Here is a 19,237-nt window from a genome sequence, read left to right on the forward strand (position 1 = left end):
TAAACTGAGAGTGTGTTAAATTGATTAGTATTCTTCCTAATCTGCAAATTCCCCTTTTCCATGGAACTTAAGCTATCTACAGATGTGACATCAGGGGGCCAAGTCTGGGATCCAAAATTCTTCAAGCAGATACAATTAGCAAATTATTCTGATAGTTCAAGCCAGAGAGGTTGGTTAGCTGGATGTGGATGGTGTTGGTAGAGATGGAGAAAAGTGTATATGTTAGAGGAATTTTAGACGAATGATGGAGAGAAAGCTATAAAGGAAGGCTCCTAGATCTCTTGCTTGCACAGTTGGATGAGTTAGGTGCTCACCCATTCATGTATTCTTCTCCCCTGTACCTCCAGTCTTACTGCCCCATTTCTAGCCTATTTTGATCCTGCATGTCAAATTGTCTCTGCATTTCTTTATTTCTGCAGAGGGGCTGTAGCTCTGCAGGAGCTCCTGGCCTCCTCCCATTACTGAAAATAAATACCAGGGAAAATCTGTTTCTTTAGTAATTTGTTTCTGATTATAAATATTGCACATGTATTGATTACATAAATCCATATACTATAAAACTGATATTTAAGAGAATAAAAGTCCCAACCTCAGAATTAACTACTGCACCCCCCTTTTTTTTTTTTGATGGAGTCTCGCTCTGTCGCCCAGGCTGGAGGGCAGTGGCGTGATCTCTGCTCACTGCAAGCTCCGCCTCCCGGGTTCACGCCATTCTCCTGCCTCAGCCTCCTGAGTAGCTGGGACTACAGGCACCCACCACCATGCCTGGCTAATTTTTTGTATTTTTAGTAGAGACGGGGTTTCACCATGTTAACCAGGATGGTCTCGATCTCCTGACTTCGTGATCTGCCCACCTCAGCCTCCCAAAGTGCTGGGATTACAGGCATGAGCCACTGCGCCTGGCCAACTACTGCTTTTAAGGTAGACTTTATCTCAGTTTGCTCAGTAGATATAATTTTTTTTTTTACAGAAAAGGGATAAAACACACTCTTTTATAACTGGATTATTTTCCTTAGTGATGTACCCTGACCTTGTATGTCACCATTTATAGATTTTTTGGTTCTTTTAAACAGTGGCATAGCATTTGATTTTTAAATGGATGTACCATAATTTATTTAACTTGTCTCTTACTAGTGGGCATAAGGCCTGTTTTTAATTTTTGCTATTATAAACAATGTTCTAATCAGTAGCTAGGTATAGATATCTTTGGCCACTTTTGTGATAGGTCTCTGGTATCACTTTCTAGTATTGGAACTGCTAGATCAAACATTATACATATTTAACATTTTAACTGTTATTACAAAATTGTCCTTCAGAAGACCTCTGTAGTATGTTTGTTTCACCTTATCTGGGAATGCCAGGTGCAGGGAGAATTCAGCTTCACCTAGAACCAAAGGAAACCCTGTCAGTGAAAAGTCTCAGATGAGACCAAGGCTATCTCTTCAAATAGTTTAGAATATGCAAGATTTAACAAAGATAACATATTTGCCTAGTGTTCCTGGTACTCTGCTGGGTACTGGGGATAGTACCTCAAGCCTCCCTCACCCTAGTTGGTAAACAGCAGGCTAGTGCAGCGGTTAAAGGAGCATGGGTGAGGGTGAGGGGATTAGTTGGGGGATGTTTCTTATTTAAGCTGAATTATTTTGATGAAAAGGATTTTGGAGGGAAAATGTTTTTGTGTCAGTCATTAAGTAGCCCAGTGGATTAGTAGAATGATAAACAGATTTTTGCAGTTTAAGGAATGGGGTACAGGAAATGAAAGCAAGTGATCTCAGCCTGTTTCTCAACCAGTTAAGAATGTTTTCTACTGCAAGTGACAGAAGTGGATAATGATGGCTTAAACAAGTAGGGGATTATTTTTTTCTGAGACAAAGGTCTAAATGTGGGAGGCTGAGGATTGGTTCAGTGGCTCAATGTGTCAGGGCCAGTGTCTCTGCAGTTCTCTTGGCCCTTCTCTCATGGTGGCAAAACAGCTGCCTCTATATCTGGTGTCACATCTGCATTCGAGCCAAGAGGAAGGAAGAAACGGCGGTGGCGGGACATCTGCCTCTGCATCAGGAAGGCAAAGCTTTCCCAGAAGCCCCAACAACAGATTTCTGTTGCTGTTTACTGGTTACCACTAGCTGGAAGAGAAGGCGAAAGTGTAAAGAACAGAATGGCATAATTGGCTTAGTCTGACTATGACCATTGCGGGGATGTGGGCACACGGATTCCCAAACAAAATCCAGGCACTTCTAACTAAGAAGAAGAGGGGTATAGATATTAGGAAATTACTACAGCTATCTCTTTGTGGGTTAGATTTTGAAGGGCCTGGTAAACTATGCTGAGGAACAGGAACTTTCTAGTACACCAAAGGCAACCACCCAAGTTCTTACATGGTTTATAAGGGTTGTTAGTAGTGGCCATTCTTTCCCAGATAATTTCAAGATTCTGGACTTGGTGGAAGATTATTTCAGAGTGACAGCTACTGATCAAATGAACAACTCTCCTTACTTGCCTTATAATATGAAAGGACAAGATTGTGCTATCTCTTTCATCTGTAAAGCTTTCCTTGACTTCAAAAAGAATCTTATAAACAAAAGCTTTTCACAGGATGTGGAGATGAAAACAAGTTATAAAAGCAGTTTACATACCATGGTTTAGAACAAATCATAAGGGATGAACAAACAAACCCTTTTTAGTTAAAAAAAATTTCCATGTTTACACACACGTGTATAATTACTATCAAGATATCATGCATTTTGAAACATCTTTATTTAGGTGGTCATACAGCTCCCATGGGCCATAATGTTTATGGTTGCACATAGTTTTTTTTGTTTGTTTTTGTGGGTTTTTTTAAATTTTTTTTTTATTTTTTGAGACAAGAGTCTCACTTTGTTGCCCAGACTGGAGTGCAGTGGCGCAATCTTGGCTCACTCCAACTTCCACCTCCCAGGCTCAAGCAATTCTCATGCCTCAGCCTCCTGAGTAGCTAGGACTACAGGTGTGTGCCACCTTGCCTGGCTAATTTTTGTATTTTTAGTAGAGATGGGGTTTCACCATGTTGGCCAGGCTGGTCTTGAACACCTGACTTCAAGTACCTGCCTCAGCCTCTCAAAGTCCTAGGTATACAGGCAACAGCCACCATATCTAGCTCAGTTTTTCTTAAATATAAAGTAATTTTTGTCCACACCAAATCAGAGTAGCTGAGAACTACTGCTAAATACTCCATAGTTAGTTTATCTATAAATTAATATTTATTCATTCTGATACATTGATATGTTTATGTTTAGTACAGAGATACATTTGAACATAGAAAATCAGAATAGGAAGTTCACCATAAATATTACATAAGTGAAACACTAAAAGTGACCTGTCATAAACCTCAAGAGAATGCTTGGATATTATGAACTGGCTTTATCATTACTATTCTCTTATTAAACATTTAAAGTCTTTCAATATAATAGGGAAGGATTACTTTCATAAATAAACTATTGCTCTTTTAAAAAACTAAACACTATTGTAAAGGTATAATTTCTTGTGTGGAAATATTAGTAAGAAAATTGTGAATCAAACTATATTCTTTATTCTTTAGTTACTCTTCAGGGTTATGCCCCATAGCATATGAGTAAATGGTTTTAATATTTTTAGTAAGAAAATTTTGATCACATTAAATGTTATTTAATGTTGTTATTGATAGCAAAGAAAAAGGGCATAAATGTTTCAAATTTGCCATTACAAAAATTACTTGACACGAGCGACTAGGTTTATCCCACATAAATTAATGTGAACACACCCAGAGGGACACAAAAGGAAAAAAATACCATAGATGAAGACTCAGCAATGAGGAAAACACCAATATTTGCCCATAACCCTGCCCCACCATATATGAAAAATCCATTGATGATTGAGTGCTTTCAAAATAATTGGCACAATCCCTTCTCTCACAAGAATATTGGAGATGATCAAACAAAACCTGCTTTTTTATTTTTAAATTAAAATTTTTCCTTTCCCTTTCCCTTCCCTTGTCCTTCCCCCTTCTGTCTTGCTGGTACTGAGCACTCTGGGCTGCCCTGCATATTACTCCAAAATAAGATCAGGGCTGTCATCCTTCCTGCTTTACCAGCTGTGTCAGTCTGGGCCCCGTGGGAAGCCGATGCCGAGCATGCAAGAGGATTACCTGGGGAATTGTCTGTAGAGAATGCAAGGAGGGAGTAGGAGTCCAGTCCACTGAGAGAGGCTCCAGACTGATCTACAGATCTGACACCTACAAGAGGAGAAAGAGTAGGAAGGATTACGTACAGAGAGTCTCAGATCACAGCAGTTTTGAAAGTCTCAGCCAAGCCAACGGGAAGTCCCTAAGACACTGAGCTTTACCACTGAAGAAGCTTCATGCTGGCCAGGAAGGATGACTTTGGAGTAAATAACATTGTGGTCACAAAGGAGTAACTACTGGAGAGACTGTTCATCAGGTCTGCTCCCCAAGCAGTTTCCCCTGAAGGAGGCCACCACACCAGCATTGTCTTCCTTTTTCAGCATTATCTTTCCTTTTTCCTTCCAGAAAAAGGATGTTGGATGTTATTTCTCTATCCAAAAGCCTTCAGTAACTCCTTTTTGGCCAGAAAATAATGCTGCAACATGCATTGAAGGTTTCTGAAAGCTTGACCTTGGCTTCATTTACACCTCTATTTTTAGAGTATTTCTCCCTAATTTCTATTTTCCAGCCACAGACAACTTCGCACCATAATCTGGAGTTTGAATGCAGTGTGAAGCCTCTGAGCTTTTGCTCACTCTGTTCCTATACCTCCATACTCTCCTGAGCCTCTCAAAATACTACCCTCCTTTCCATATCCAGGCAGGTGTCTTTCTTGAGCCATCTATTCAGAATGCATCACTTTTGTGTTCAAATACCGTGTGGTTCAGATGTCTACTTGGTGTGAATTTCACTTTACTTTATTTTATGTCTTTCCTTCAAAGATCTAGAAGACAGAAACTATATTTCTAGGACCCTGCTAGGTCTTGTGCTTAGTGGTGGTCATTTGATGAGTGTTTACTGAAAATAAATTAACCCAAATGCAGGAGAGGACGTTTGTTTGTGAGGAGGTGAGTTGCAGGAAGAAAGATGGAATCATCTAAGGAAAGTCAGAGACATTTCTGTACACATTGTCACTGAATTCTCTTTGCTTCTCAAGGAGAGGCCGAAGATTTCCTTTCCTGGAACTTGAAACAGAGTGTCCAGAAGGCTTGAGAGATAAGGGGCAGGGAAGCAAAGATGTCTTCCCTTTTATGGAACTCTTTGGGAGCCCAGCTCTAAAGGAGAGAATCAAATCCGTGTTTTCCTGTGTAATTCTTCCCTTTCTTTCTTACGTGTACCTGTGTGGTCCAGGATTCTCCCTCCTAGTTCTCGTGTGGTACCTGTGTGGTCCAGGATTCTCCCTCCTAGTTCTCGTGTGGTACCTGTGTGGTCCAGGATTCTCCCTCCTAGTTCTCGTGTGGTACCTGTGTGGTCCAGGATTCTCCCTCCTAGTTCTCGTGTGGTACCTGTGTGGTCCAGGATTCTCCCTCCTAGTTCTCGTGTGGTACCTGTGTGGTCCAGGATTCTCCCTCCTAGTTCTCGTGTGGTACCTGTGTGGTCCAGGATTCTCCCTCCTAGTTCTCGTGTGGTACCTGTGTGGTCCAGGATTCTCCCTCCTAGTTCTCGTGTGGTACCTGTGTGGTCCAGGATTCTCCCTCCTAGTTCTCGTGTGGTACCTGTGTGGTCCAGGATTCTCCCTCCTAGTTCTCGTGTGGTACCTGTGTGGTCCAGGATTCTCCCTCCTAGTTCTCGTGTGAAGATTAAACTGTGAAGTTTCTTCTCACGTCTGCTGATGTTTACCTTTGGGTCCCCATCACCCAGCCGAGGGCCTGACAGGGAGTGGGCACAGAGTAAATGGCTGGAGCAAGCTGCACAGAACTAACTGTGGCGTGCAGTGAGCGAGGAAGCAGAAATCTGATACTCAGAGGGCGATTGCGAAGGAATCACAGGGAGAATTACAGTGACTGAAAAGTAGCAGGAGGTGAAAGGACAGATGGCAGGATGCAGTAAAGAAAATGGAAGGGAGACACTTGGCTTTGCCATGATTAGTTGAACTAGACGACTTTGGACCCACAATAGAAGTAGAAATATTAATTGGATTCAAGTTAGCAAGTCTTTATTGCACGCTCATTTCTACAATGAGCCATCCTCATTTCTGTAGCTGAGTAAAAAAAAGAGTAGAAGAATATGACTAATTTCTGATTGCAAAGTAATTATAGTTCAGTTGAAATACATGTACAAACACACGTGAGATTGTTTAATTATGACACAGTAGAATATGACATCGAACTTCTTTCCCCTGCTGCATTTAACTTACCCATGAGTCTGAATGGCTTAATGTACAAAATAGACCCCATATCTGCCAACTTTTCTCCATGTTCCCCATACAAAGTCTCCACCTCTTTTGTCTCCCCTGGACCTGCAACAACCTCTTAACTGGTCTGCCTCATTCTAACTTTGTACCCTCATGGTCCATTCTCTGACCAGTAGTCAGAGAGATCTTTCAAAAAACACAAATCCTGTCTTGCCACTCTCCTGCAGAAAACCCTCCCATGCGTCTGGGTGCACCTGGAGTAAAAGGTAAAGTCCATGCGGGATCTAACTCTTGCCTGACTCTCAGCTCCTCTCTTCATGCCTCTCAGCATGCTTCCCTGTGCTTACTCTCCTCCTGCCACACCGCCCTTCTTCCTGTTCCCCCTATCTTTGCAGGGCTGGCTCCTTCTTGTCATTCAGGTCCCAGCTCAGATGTCACCTCCTCAGTGAAGCCTTCCCTGACTATCCCCCCAACCTAAACTATCTGTCCCCTCTCCAGCCACTTTCTTGTATTACCCTGTTATAGAGCTTCATAGTACTTAGCAGCATCTGAAATGTGTAAAATGCATTTATTGTCTGTCCCCGCCTCCCAGAATGTCCCCAGCTCCTTAAGAGGAGAGATCTCGTTTGTCTTTTTCATTGCTCTATTCCCAGTACCTAGCCTGATATCTTGTGCATAGGCAGCTCTCATCAAATAGTTATTGGGTGAATGAATAAAAAACAGGAATTATTAGAGACAAAGAATGGAGATTGTAGCTCAGGGTAGTTGGGCAAAGTGCTTGGAGGAAGAAATATTATTTTAGCTATGAAGAATGGTGTGGGGAACAGAGGCTAAGAAGCAGCAATGTGCACATTTTTGTCAAAGGAAGACCCTGGCCAGGCTGGAGCAAAAGGTACACAACAATAACAGTGGGGCAGGTGTCATGACAGGGAGTTAAATTTGTATGGAATCAGAGGGCAAAAGAAAGTCATTACACTGCCAAACTGTGTGTGTGTGTGTGTGTGTGTGTGTGTGTGTGTGTATTTTGCCTTAGGTGGCAAGACATTGAAATTCCACAGGGTGCCTAAGAGCTAGGATATCTATTTATCATCTTATTTCCAATTTTGACAAATATGAAACAAATTATAGTCCCTGAATCATGAACATAATGAAAAAAAGTTAGTCGACCCCATATATTTCATATTTATGCCAGTGATGGTGATTTGATTTGATTTTTTGTCTCCTCTGTTTCTCATGAAGTGGTTCACTATTTTGATAGAGCAGCTCCCTGAATTATTCAATCGAGGAATAGTTTTCGTTTGCTTGATGTTTCATTTTCTCTCAGGAATGGCCCTTATAGAATATGCATTTCTTTTCCTTGAGTGAGATAATGTATGTGAAAGTACTTTGCAAACCATCAGGCGCTAAGGAAATGGAAGGTAGAATGATTATTACCTTTTAAGGTCTTAAGAGACATAAACTACTAACAGCATCATCTTATTGCTCTGCTTTTCTTGCTTTTTGTTGCTGTAAAAAGAACTATTTCCTCTCAAGAGATTATTCTCTGCTACAGTCGGGAGGCAAACATGTTTGTCTATACATCGTCCAGTTACTACCTCTAAGAAAATTAACAAAACTCAGATGTTCCTGAGATAAATGTTGGATAAACCATTAGTTGTAGAGAATATTCTTTGTCCAGAAGAACAAAAATATTAAAATTCTGCCGATTTTAAAAAAGCGCTTCTTCCTGACATCCCTCCTTGGCTCTTCCCTTGTGAGCACAGAATGTCCACATGCAGACTCGGGAAGAGTGGCAGTTCCTGTGATCACCTAAGTTGCCATGGACGGCAAGGATTGGGAGACTTCAGTTTTATGTTCTAGTTACCAGTGAAACTGCCCCATTAAATATTTTAAGGAACACATTCGAAGTATGAAAATATTTTCTAAAATAGAATCCATCTCTTCGTTTGTCCTCTAAATATAGCTGATGTGTCCATCATGGGACCTGATCATAATATTTTTATGGTGACATTGATGCTTTCTTTGCAATTTTTGAAAAGTAATAATTTTCTCCATGTTATAGCTATCATAGGAAAAAGCTGTTCTTGGAAATACTGGGATGCCTGGGCCCATCTCCATTAAAAAAGCGAGACTTCAGCAGCCACAAAAAGGAAAGAGATCATGTCTTTTGCAGGGACATTGGTGGGGCTAGAAGCCATTATCCTAAGCGGACTAACACAGGAACAGAACAGCAAACACCGCACGTTCTCACTTATTAGTGAGAGCTGAACAATGAGGCCACATGGACACAGGGAGGGGAACAACACACACTGTGGCCTGCTGGTGGGGACGGGAGCCCCGGGGCAAGGGAGAGCATCAGGAAAAATAGCTAATGCATGGTGGGCTTAATACGTATGTGATGGGTTGGTAGGTGCAGCAAACCACCATGGCACACATTTACCTTTGTAGCAAACCTGCACATCCTGCACATGAAATTAAAATAAAAAATAAGCAAGACTTGGAATTCAGTTAGGAGGCAAAGGACAGAGAGGCAGTAGGGGTGGAATGGTTTTGAGTTCTGGCCTAGATGGAATTCCAATGAGATAAGCTGAAGTGGGTGAGTAGAGGCTGATGGGGGTGGTTTTACCTGAACGAATGTAGGAAAATAGGGACCCAGGCAAGAGCCTTCCAGCGGAGAGGCAAAGCAAAAAAGTGCAGCTTTTTTAGGGGAGAACTAGATGGAATGTAAGAGCAAATGCAAACTTCTAAAAGAACAAGGAGACAAGGACCTTAACTAGTTTAGGAACAGGTAGGGATTAACATTTATCTGATAGGCCGGATGAATTTGGAGTTTGAGTGCAATAATAACAATAATATCTAATATTTATTAAACTTTTAATGCACCAGTTACTATAGCAATCATTTTCATAAATTATCCTGCATTATCTCCTTAATCCTTACAACTTCATAAGATAAAAACTTATTTTAGGTTCTTATCTTATTTTAATGTTGGAGAAAACAAAAGTTTAGGGAATCTAAGATGATTCAGTGGTGAAGCCAGTACCCAAGTTATGCCTGTGTGACCCCCTAATTTATGATATGTATATACTTCTTAAAGATATAATATGGCTTGTGTGCTTGTATTTTTAATTTGAAAAATATGAACACACACACAGAAGTTAAAATTAACCTTAATTCTACCATGGAAAATAAATATCACACAATCCTTCAACAACCCCCATCCCCAAAGGTAACATTACCACTTTAGTATGTGTGTGTGTATATATATATATATATATATATATATATATATAATGTGTATAGTATGTGCACACAACTACATATATATGTAGCCGTTTGTTTTCTGCAACCTTTTATATTAAAAAATAAAACAATCTTTCAAGAAAATGATCTTTTCATATTTGTGCATTTTTCTTCCATAGAAAATAGTGCTGCAAAAATATATATTTACATATATATGTATGTATATAGACAGACAAAATTTTGACGATAAGGGGTTGCAGCAATTTATACTTATGTGAGGGTATGATATGAGGGCTCCTTTTTACTCACATCATTGTGGAAACTAGTTTTTAATTTAAAAATTTTTGGTTATTCTGATAGTGGGGAAATGGTATCTCATTTGTTTTGCCTTTTTTGAGTTATTATTGAAGATGAATATTTTTCTCATATTTTATTGACAACATAAATGTTTCTTAAATATATTAATATAAATGTATTTTTCTCTTAACCATTACAATGTTTTCTGTGTTTCTGTAATTTTACACATGTTCATAATTCCTAATATGAGAAGTAGGGATGGAGAGTGGCAGGGAAAGAATGAATGGGATTAAAGGGAGGGTTGGGACAGAGTGAATGGGACATCGGGACAGCACTTTGACTGTTTCTATAGCTGACCCAGAAATATTTCATGATCGAGGTTACTAGAAGGAAATGACAATGCTTGAATGGTAACAAAAGCATTTTTGAAAGCACTGCTTCTAATCTTTGATCATTATACTCACTTATTATGAAGTTTCTTTTCACCTCTAAATATCTGATTTTCAATTTGTAAAGTGGGAATAAAACTTCCTTTTCTTTTGAAAGATATCTTGAATGTTAAAAAGAAAAAAAAAAGAAAATACTTTGAAAACATCATTACTCCATATCATGATAATTACTTTCATTTTCTTTTGTTTTACCAATGACATCCTCTCAGATCTGGTCTAACACATTTCAAATCCAGCCGCACTCTTTCTCATCCCTCTAAAAACACCTCATTTTAAAAACAGTGAAAACAGCACGTCTGCCATATTCTCAGATTGCTATTCAATCATCTTAAAGGGTTAAGGAAGGATGTCTTATTCCCAAGTTAAGATTGAGTATTATCCGAATTGTCTTTTTAGTTAAGGACTGAGAGTAGGAGAGTTTAATAAAGAAACGCAAAGCTCTGGAATTTTTTTCTTTTGATTCAGAAAAATCTAAACCTGTTGTCCCTCAGGGCATCACATAAAGCACATCCGTTAAATCAGGATTTTCCTAATGTAAATGGACATGGGTTCTCTTGACAATTTTACTGGTTTGAATTCCGTTGGGCTGCTATACATATGCCTGGAGGGCTCATCAATGAGTGGGTATTATAAATCAAAATTTTAAAAATCACTTGTATTAGAACTATTATCTATGACCCATTACAAATAATCCCCCAAATCTTCATCTAATCAAATGCGGTTTTGTTAACCGCTACATTTCAGCTCTCTCTGTTCATTGTAATTCAAGGTTGTGCCTCTGCTGCCATTCGTAAATCACTTGTTAATCGCTCCTGCTTTATAATACCAGCCTAATCATTTGCTGTGTCTTGCTGTCAAAACATTCCAATCTGATTTGATGCAACTTCATTCTGCATGTGTGCATCCCTATCTAACCTATAGAATAGCAGAAATAATTGCCTACATCTGAGAAGTTTTTTCTCCAAACACCTGTACTAATTAAAACTCCAAATACATGAAAAATTATTGACAATAGTGTTCATCATTAAGAACCTCTTTTCATAGGCACAGCAAGCAAGATGTGGACTGTGTACAATGGCTAGTCAAAGATGGATAAATAATGGAAGCTTTATTTGCTGTGCATTCTAAAGGATCCCATTTACGAGCCAGCTAAAACATAATTCAATGGATCCATCAGTGGTTCCCACACCAGTGTCAGACTGGCATGAAAGACCCACATTTCCAGGCCTTATGAAATGGTAGCCCTTTTAGTGCACAAAACAAAAATCATTCTGTACCACTTCCTATGTCGATGACATGCTTGTATTGATTTTTCTCTGATTGTTTTGCAACACGTAGAGCTTCTTCAGGTATTTGGGTCACACTCACCACACTGGTGCTCAATCCAAAGGGCCTCCAGCACCCTGCACCAATAGCGATTAGAGAGACACTCTGATGGACGTAAAAACTGAAACCGGCCGGGCATGGTGGCTCACGCCTGTAATCCCAGCACTTTGGGAGGCCGAGGCAGGCGGATAACGAGGTCAGGAGATCGAGACCATCCTGGCCAACATGGTGAAACCCCGTCTCTACTAAAAATACAAAAAATTAGCTGGGCATGGTGGTGGGTGCCAGTAGTCCCAGCTACCCGGGAGGCTGAGGCAGGAGAATGGCATGAACCTGGGAGGCAGAGCTTGCAGTGAGCCAAGATCGCGCCACTGCCCTCCAGTCTGGGCAACTGAGGGAGACTCCATCTCAAAAAAAAAAAAAAAAAAAAAAAAGAAAAAAAACCCCTGAAACTTCCACATTATAGAGATTTAACTAATGATGTAGTCTTTTTTTTTCTGTTAATTGATACTGAAACACAAATGATGTAGTTTGGCTGATAAGTGTTTTCTTCCTGCTTTCTATTTTTATACGTATACTATCAGAAAAGGACACAGGAAGTCAACGACAGCCCAGGCTACATAGTTTGGAAAGCAAGACTGGAAATTAAGTTTCTGGCAGGAAACCACACGCATTTTGAAATCCTGTAATCCTGAATAATATGCAACACAAATATCTCTTCCTCTTCTTTCGCCTCTGACATTAGTTAGTATATTCTTTTACTAGAGAAATAGGCTTTTTGTTTTTCTTTTGCTTGTAGGGGCACATGAGGCATCCTTTATAAGGAAATGGACTGGTTAGCTGACACTGAAGTATTTGCACTCTTCATGTACTTTTCCAGCAATTAAAGTCTGAGAAAAACTTACTTCTCCTTTTAGTATTCCTCATATGGTATCAGATTTCATTAAATTCTTTATCTACAGCTTCCTTAGCCATGTCATAGACGCAAACTGGGAACCAATTCTTTACAAATAAAAATGAACTTATATACTTTATTGCTTCTGACATGAAATACACTGGAAGTACTGAAAAAAGATGTTTGCTTATCTAGGGGAGTAGTGTTATGTCATTGCAGAGAATAACTTCAAATGTATCACAGTATTTCTGCAGAAAATTGGACTTCTCCTTGATGAGTGGCTTGGTGCCAAGGACCCAGATTAAAAGTACAAAATACACAATATCTTCACTGTAACTGTTTTCTATGTATGTAACAGAGGAACCAAATTAGTGACAATGTGTATCATGTATCTGCTTTATGTGGATAAATATAGTGTATGACACACGAAAGGCCACTGAGCACAAGCCCTAGTGTTGTGGGCTGAAGAAAAGGAGGGCATATCTTAGTCTAATCAGGTTCAGAGAATCACTTCACAAATTAAAAATACACAGCAGTTATGGGATGGTCCTATTTACTGATGCTCAGAGACATCAAATGCAGCACCAATTGCATACAGGAAGGGTTAAATGACCAAATATTTCTGCAGGTCTCTTATGAATGCTCTTTAATGAAGTTTTACAAGGAAGACATTCAAGAGGGTAACAATAGAAAAGTAAACATTTGCTAATTCACATGTTTTTTCATTTAATTGCACTTATTGCATCTTCCTATATGTCTGATGCAAAGACCGATGCATATAACATCATCACTAACTTAGAACTCAGAGCCAGATGAATTCACTTTCTTCAAGTCACTATGATAAAATGTGATAAGTGTGATATTTTAAAAGTGTATCTAAAGTGCTATGGAAACAAAGGCAAGTAATTCACCATGTTTATTATTGGAGGATGGGGTGAATGTTCCGCTAGCATCCCCTATTCCTCTTTCCTGCTGTATTTTTTAGAGCACCTATTATCACTTGATATAGTATATATTTAGTTGTTTACTGACAATTTGGTTTTTTTGCAGTGTGCACTGCCCCGCCCAAATATGATATAGACCCTGTAAAAACAGGAACTTTTCTTTCTTCTCCCTTCCTTCCTTCCTTTCTTGCTTTCTTGCTTTCTCTCTTGCTTGCTTTCTCTTTCTTTCTTTCTTTCTTTCTTTCTTTCTTTCTTTCTTTCTTTCTTTCTTTCTTTCCTTTCTCTTTCTTTCTTTTCTTTCTTTCTTTCTTTCTCTTTCTCTCTTTCTTTCATTCTTTCTCCCTCTCTTTCTCCCTCCCTCTCTTTCTTTCTTTCTTTCTTTCCTTCCTTCCTTCCTTCCTTCCTTCCTTCCTTCCTTCCTTCCTTCCTTCCTTCCTTCCTTCAGAAAATGTCTTGCTCTGTCGCCCCCAGGCTGAAGTGCAGTATCATAATCAGGGCTGACTACAGCTTCAACCTCCCAGGCTCAAATGATACTTCTGCCTCAGCCTTCTGAGTACCTGGAACTATAGGCATGTGCCACCACACTTGGCTAATTTTTATTTATTTTTTATTTTTTGTAGAGACAGGGTCTCACTATGTTACCCAGGCTGGCCTTGAACTCCTGGGCTCAAACAATCCTCCTGCCTTGGCCTCCCAAAGTGCTGGAATTACAGATGTCTTTTCAATTCTATTCACAGCTTATATCCTAGTGCCCAAGACAATGGTTGACACAGAGTAGTTGCTAATTAAGTATTTGTGGAATGAATGAAAGGAATACATGTTAGACTACATGAGATGCTGGAAATACAATGGTGACTAATACCCACAGTAAACCTGACCTTAAGCAGCTTATGTTCTAAGGGGAGAGATAGACAATATTCAATATACAAGTAAATGTGATGGTTTCACACACTGATGAGTGCTAAGAATATAACCACTGTAGGTAAGTCATATAGAGTGAAGAGGACGTTGCTTAACAAGGGAGCCAGGAAAGGCCTCTCTGAGAAAGTGACATTTGAATTGAAACCTAGGTCCTGAGAAGGAGGAAGCCATGTGAAGAGACGGAGAAAGAAAGAGCATGTCATGGGTTGTTATGGTTTAAATATATCTCCTCCAAAATTCAAGTGTTGAAACTTAATGGCCAATGTGATAATAGTAAGCGGTGGAGTCTTTCAGAAGTGATTGGGTAGTGAGGGCTCCTCTCCTTGTAAATGAGATCAAAGCCCTTATAAAAGAGGCTTTATGAATGATGTGGCTGTCTTGTCCTTCTCCCTTTCACCATGTGAAGATCCAGTGCTCCTCATCCTCTGGAGGATGCAGCAACAAGGCACCATCTTGGAAGCAGAGAGCAGCACTCACCAGACACCAAACCTTCCAGCACCTTAGTCTTGGAATGATCAGTTTTCAGAACTGTAAGACATAAATTTTTGTTCTATATTAATAATCCAGTCTGAGGGATTTTATTATAGTGGTACAAACGAACTGAGACTCAGGCCATCAGAGCTTGGTGTTTTGCCAAAGAAGCCTGTGTACCTCGAATGAATGGATGGAGCAAGAAGTGAAAAGGTGGGAGGTGTCATATCACATAGTGCCTTGCAGGACAAGGTAGGAACCTTGGGTTTTATTGTGGTCCTAAAGGGAAGCCACTAGAACATTTCAAGCAAAGAAGTGGCATGATCTGATTTATGTTTTAGAAGGTGCTTTGCACACTTGCTTGCAGTTAATGTGCAGAAGGTGGTGGATAGAAAAGAGTCAGAGAGGCCCCTTCGAGGAGTCTATTATAGAGCCATAGAAAAAATACAGTCTTAGATGAGGCTAAGCTTGTAGCAATGAGGGTGGCAAGAAGTGCTTGGAGTTCAGATATATTAGGGAGGTAAAACTTACAGGTCTTGATGATAGATTTAATGAGGAAATTGAACAACCGAGTTGGTGAGTCAATGGCAGAAGGTGATTTGCTTTAGTTGAGCAGAAAATAGGAATAGATTTGCATTAGTTAAGTAGAAAAATAACTAGAACATTATAAGACGTGAGGAAGGGTGTTGAGCTTCCCAAAGTCTGTTCTTTAGAAGTCTGAGTCAATGAGATAGTGAAGAGGACTGATTTAGAGGTTACCAGTAGAAAGGGTACTGGAATTTGATCACTGTGGCTGAGGCAGGCAGGGCAGAATGGAGGTGAAAAAGACTGTTCTAGTAGCCTGCAGTTGAGAGTGAAAAAAATAGCTTTGGAAAGAATAAAGCTTAGAAATGTTACAGGAAATTGGTAGCATACTGATTATGCCAAGATACTGCCAAAAAACCAGCTCCATTTATCAAATGTAGAGAAAAATCACTAAACCTAAGTGGAGCATCGTGCAAATATCACAGCCAACATTTTCCCACAATTTCCCACTTTTTAGCTACTTGTTTTTATACTACATACACAATACTTTTTTTTTGTTCAAAGGATTGGATGTAATGGATGAGGCAAAGGAAAAAAACCTGAATTTGATTTCAAATTTGTTTTCAAATTAGTGAGGCTGCACTACAGTGCTACCAGATATGATCATGGAAAACAAAGGAGAGAAAAAGAAAAAGAGATGAAGACAGTCGACCCTCCATGTCTTTTGGTTCCACATTCCTGGATTCAACCAACCTCATATAAAAAATATTTGGAAAAAAACCCAAACAACAAAAATAACAACCCAATAATACAAGTAAAAAACAATGCTTGGGAGGCTGAGGCAGGAGAATGGCGTGAACCCGGGAGGCGGAGCTTGCAGTGAGCAGAGATCGCGCCACTGCACTCCAGCCTGGGCAAAAGAGCGAGACTCTGTCTCAAAAAAAAAAAAAAAAAAAAAAAAAACAAAAAAAAAAACAATGCAGGATAATAACTATTTACATAACATTTACATTGCATTCGGTATTAAAAGTAATCTAGAGGCGATTTAAAGTATATAGGAGGATGTGTGTAGGTTATATGCAAATTCTATGTCATTTTACATAAAGGACTTCAGCACCCCAGAATTGTGGTATTTGAGGAGGGTCCTGCAATCAATCCCCCATGGATACTGACTGTAGAATTATCTGAGCCAATGAAAGAAAGTCACTTCTTAAGATGGCTAATTAAAATCCTTGGACCTTTGGCTTAGAAAATGTTTTCATGTTTACATTTAAATACAAGAGGTTGTGGCTTTTTGGGAAATCCATTTAACTATAATGAATTAGTAGAGTGTAAGTCAGACTTAGAGATGCTGGGAAGCGACTTCATTTCTCAGCATCCAGTCTGTACCAGGAATAGATCACTTTCTTTTGATTCTTATGGAAGGATGACCTTTCTTGAGCCACTCCAGTAATATTATGGGAAGAAGCTATGCATTTGTGTTTAATATCATGAAAAATAAGAAGGAGTTGAGATGTCAACAAAGCTATAATTAAACTCATTCATTTATTCATTTGACACATTTGAGTTATAGTCAAGTCTAAAAGTGTGTGATAGATATTCAAACCTCCTTGAGGTCAGGGACCATATCAATGCATCTCAGCACTAGAAAGTGCTAGGAACACGTGTGAATGAAATGAATAAGGGCCTAGTGAAAGGAAAGGTGACTGTGGCTGCAATGTTTAGAGAAGCCTCATGGACAAAGTGCAATTTTAACTTGTTTTTCAACAGAGAGATAGTCTATATAAAAACTAAATAAGGGGAAGAGTTACAACTATTAAAAAATTTCTAAGTTAGATTTGCCTCTTAATCCAAATGTGGACAGAATGACTTTAAACAATTGATTCATTTATTTATTCGACCATTCATTTAGTACCCAGTATGTTCTAGGCATTGTGCCACACCCTGAGCATGGATTGTACAATAAAATATACACAGTCTCTGCCCTTGTGAAGCTTATAGTCTAGTGGGGAAGATGGACTAGAAACAAATAAATAGGTAAGTAACTGAATTTAAAACCAAAATCAAAACCAAAAAGGAAACCTAGATTGCTCTAACAGAAAATATTGCAGAAGCTGGGTGCAGTGGCTCACGCCTGTAATTCCAGCACTTTGGGAGGCCGCGGTGGGCAGATCACCTGAGGTCAGGAGTTTGAGACCAACCTGGCCAACATAGTGAAACCCCATCTCTACTAAAAATACAAAAAATTAGCCGGGCATGGTGGTGGGCACCTGTAATCCCAGCTACTTGGAAGGCTGAGGCAGGAGAATCTCTTGAACCTGGAAGGCGGAGGTTGCAGTGAGCCGAGATTGTGCCACTGCACTCCAGCCTGGCGAAAGAATGAGAATCTGTCTCAGAAAAAGAAAAAAAAAATTGCAGAGATGACTGCTAATCAGGGACATCCTTTCTGGGGAATGACATTGAATTTGGATGAGAAGCAACCGAATATCCTAATAGCAGAGAATTGGACAAGGAGAGGAGAGTGTGGAAGTAGTTGATGTTCCAGGCAGAGCGAACAGCATGCAAAAGCACAAGACAGGAAATATTTTGGCTTTTTGGGGAAACGAATAGAGGACATTCAGCCCAATTTTTGAGCCTGACTTTGAATAAAAATGGGATATCTGAGTGGAGATCTAGAATAAGGAGGAAATTAACAGCCTAAAAGTGGGTGAAATGTCACTGGTAATATTCATTCTTTTGATAAATATGTATTCAGTCAGTCATTATTGTGGGCATTGCGGGGATAGTAGTCAGGAGCTTACATTTTAGAAGGGGAAGATAAATCAGAAAACAAGTAACTCAATACGGAATTTAATTTCAGATCATAATAGGTGCTATGAAGATGACACAATATCATGGGAATGACGGTGACTATTTTAAGTAGAAAAGTCAGAGAAGACTCTCAAGGAGGAGACACCAGCTGGGTAGCCTCAAGCAAGAGCATCTCAGGCAGAGTATGTGCAAAGGTCTTGAGATCTGCTGTTGTGTGCCCCTTTATCCAATGTCACAAAGGCTGGCGATATTCTCAAGGTCCCCTATCTCGCATCACACAAGCATACATCACTCCATTGTATCCAAAGGCACACACCACATCCGGGAAGCCAAGGTTGTCTCTGGCCTACACAGCACCTCTTCTCTCTCCTCGACTCTTGCCTCTTTTTTTTTTTTTCCTGTTGCCCTATACAACTTATCTTCCTACCCAGCTACACTGCCAGCAGCACTTTCTCCTTCCTCAGGCAAGTATGGTAAAGTGCTGTGGGCTGTAAGTGGGAGGAACCCCCAACAGCCAAGAGCAGGAACCATGTGTGGACAAGAGGTCATAGCAGGAAATGGGTGTAGCATAGTTCACTGCCAAGCCTGAGATTCAGTTCAACCACCTGTCCACCAGTTTCCTGCTGTGGGGGCTCCGGGCCAGGTGCTTGCATGTTCCTCAACGTATGTGTGGATGTTCCAGCTGAGAAACTGAGCTCTAAATTTGGAAGCAAATGCATGGGTATCTATGTATAAGATGAGACAAAGTGGAGAATTAAACTCTCAAATTCAACCCTGAATTTTATCAAGTCGCTATTAAAGATGAAATGAGATGTTATCAAGTTGCTATTTAATGTGAAGCTATATAAAACATACATATATTTTTATTATCAAATATACATATATTTATTATACAAGAATCAGATGCAACAAACATTGAGCACTGATTATATACCAAGTAATCTGCTTGGAAAACAGATTTAATTCTTACATTGGTCTTTCCCAATA

The 19,237-nt window shown here is 39.7% G+C and overlaps 1 annotated feature.

Moving 5' to 3' along the window:
- Nucleotides 1,796-1,875: an enhancer, noted in NCBI's record as "active region_27578". NCBI's record gives its function as "activates an Ori minimal core promoter by ATAC-STARR-seq in GM12878 lymphoblastoid cells {active_cell/tissue: GM12878}" and the evidence as "EXISTENCE:reporter gene assay evidence [ECO:0000049][PMID:35858748]".

The sequence above is a fragment of the Homo sapiens genome, chromosome 8, assembly GCF_000001405.40.
Source record: "Homo sapiens chromosome 8, GRCh38.p14 Primary Assembly".
Taxonomy (NCBI): domain Eukaryota; kingdom Metazoa; phylum Chordata; class Mammalia; order Primates; family Hominidae; genus Homo; species Homo sapiens.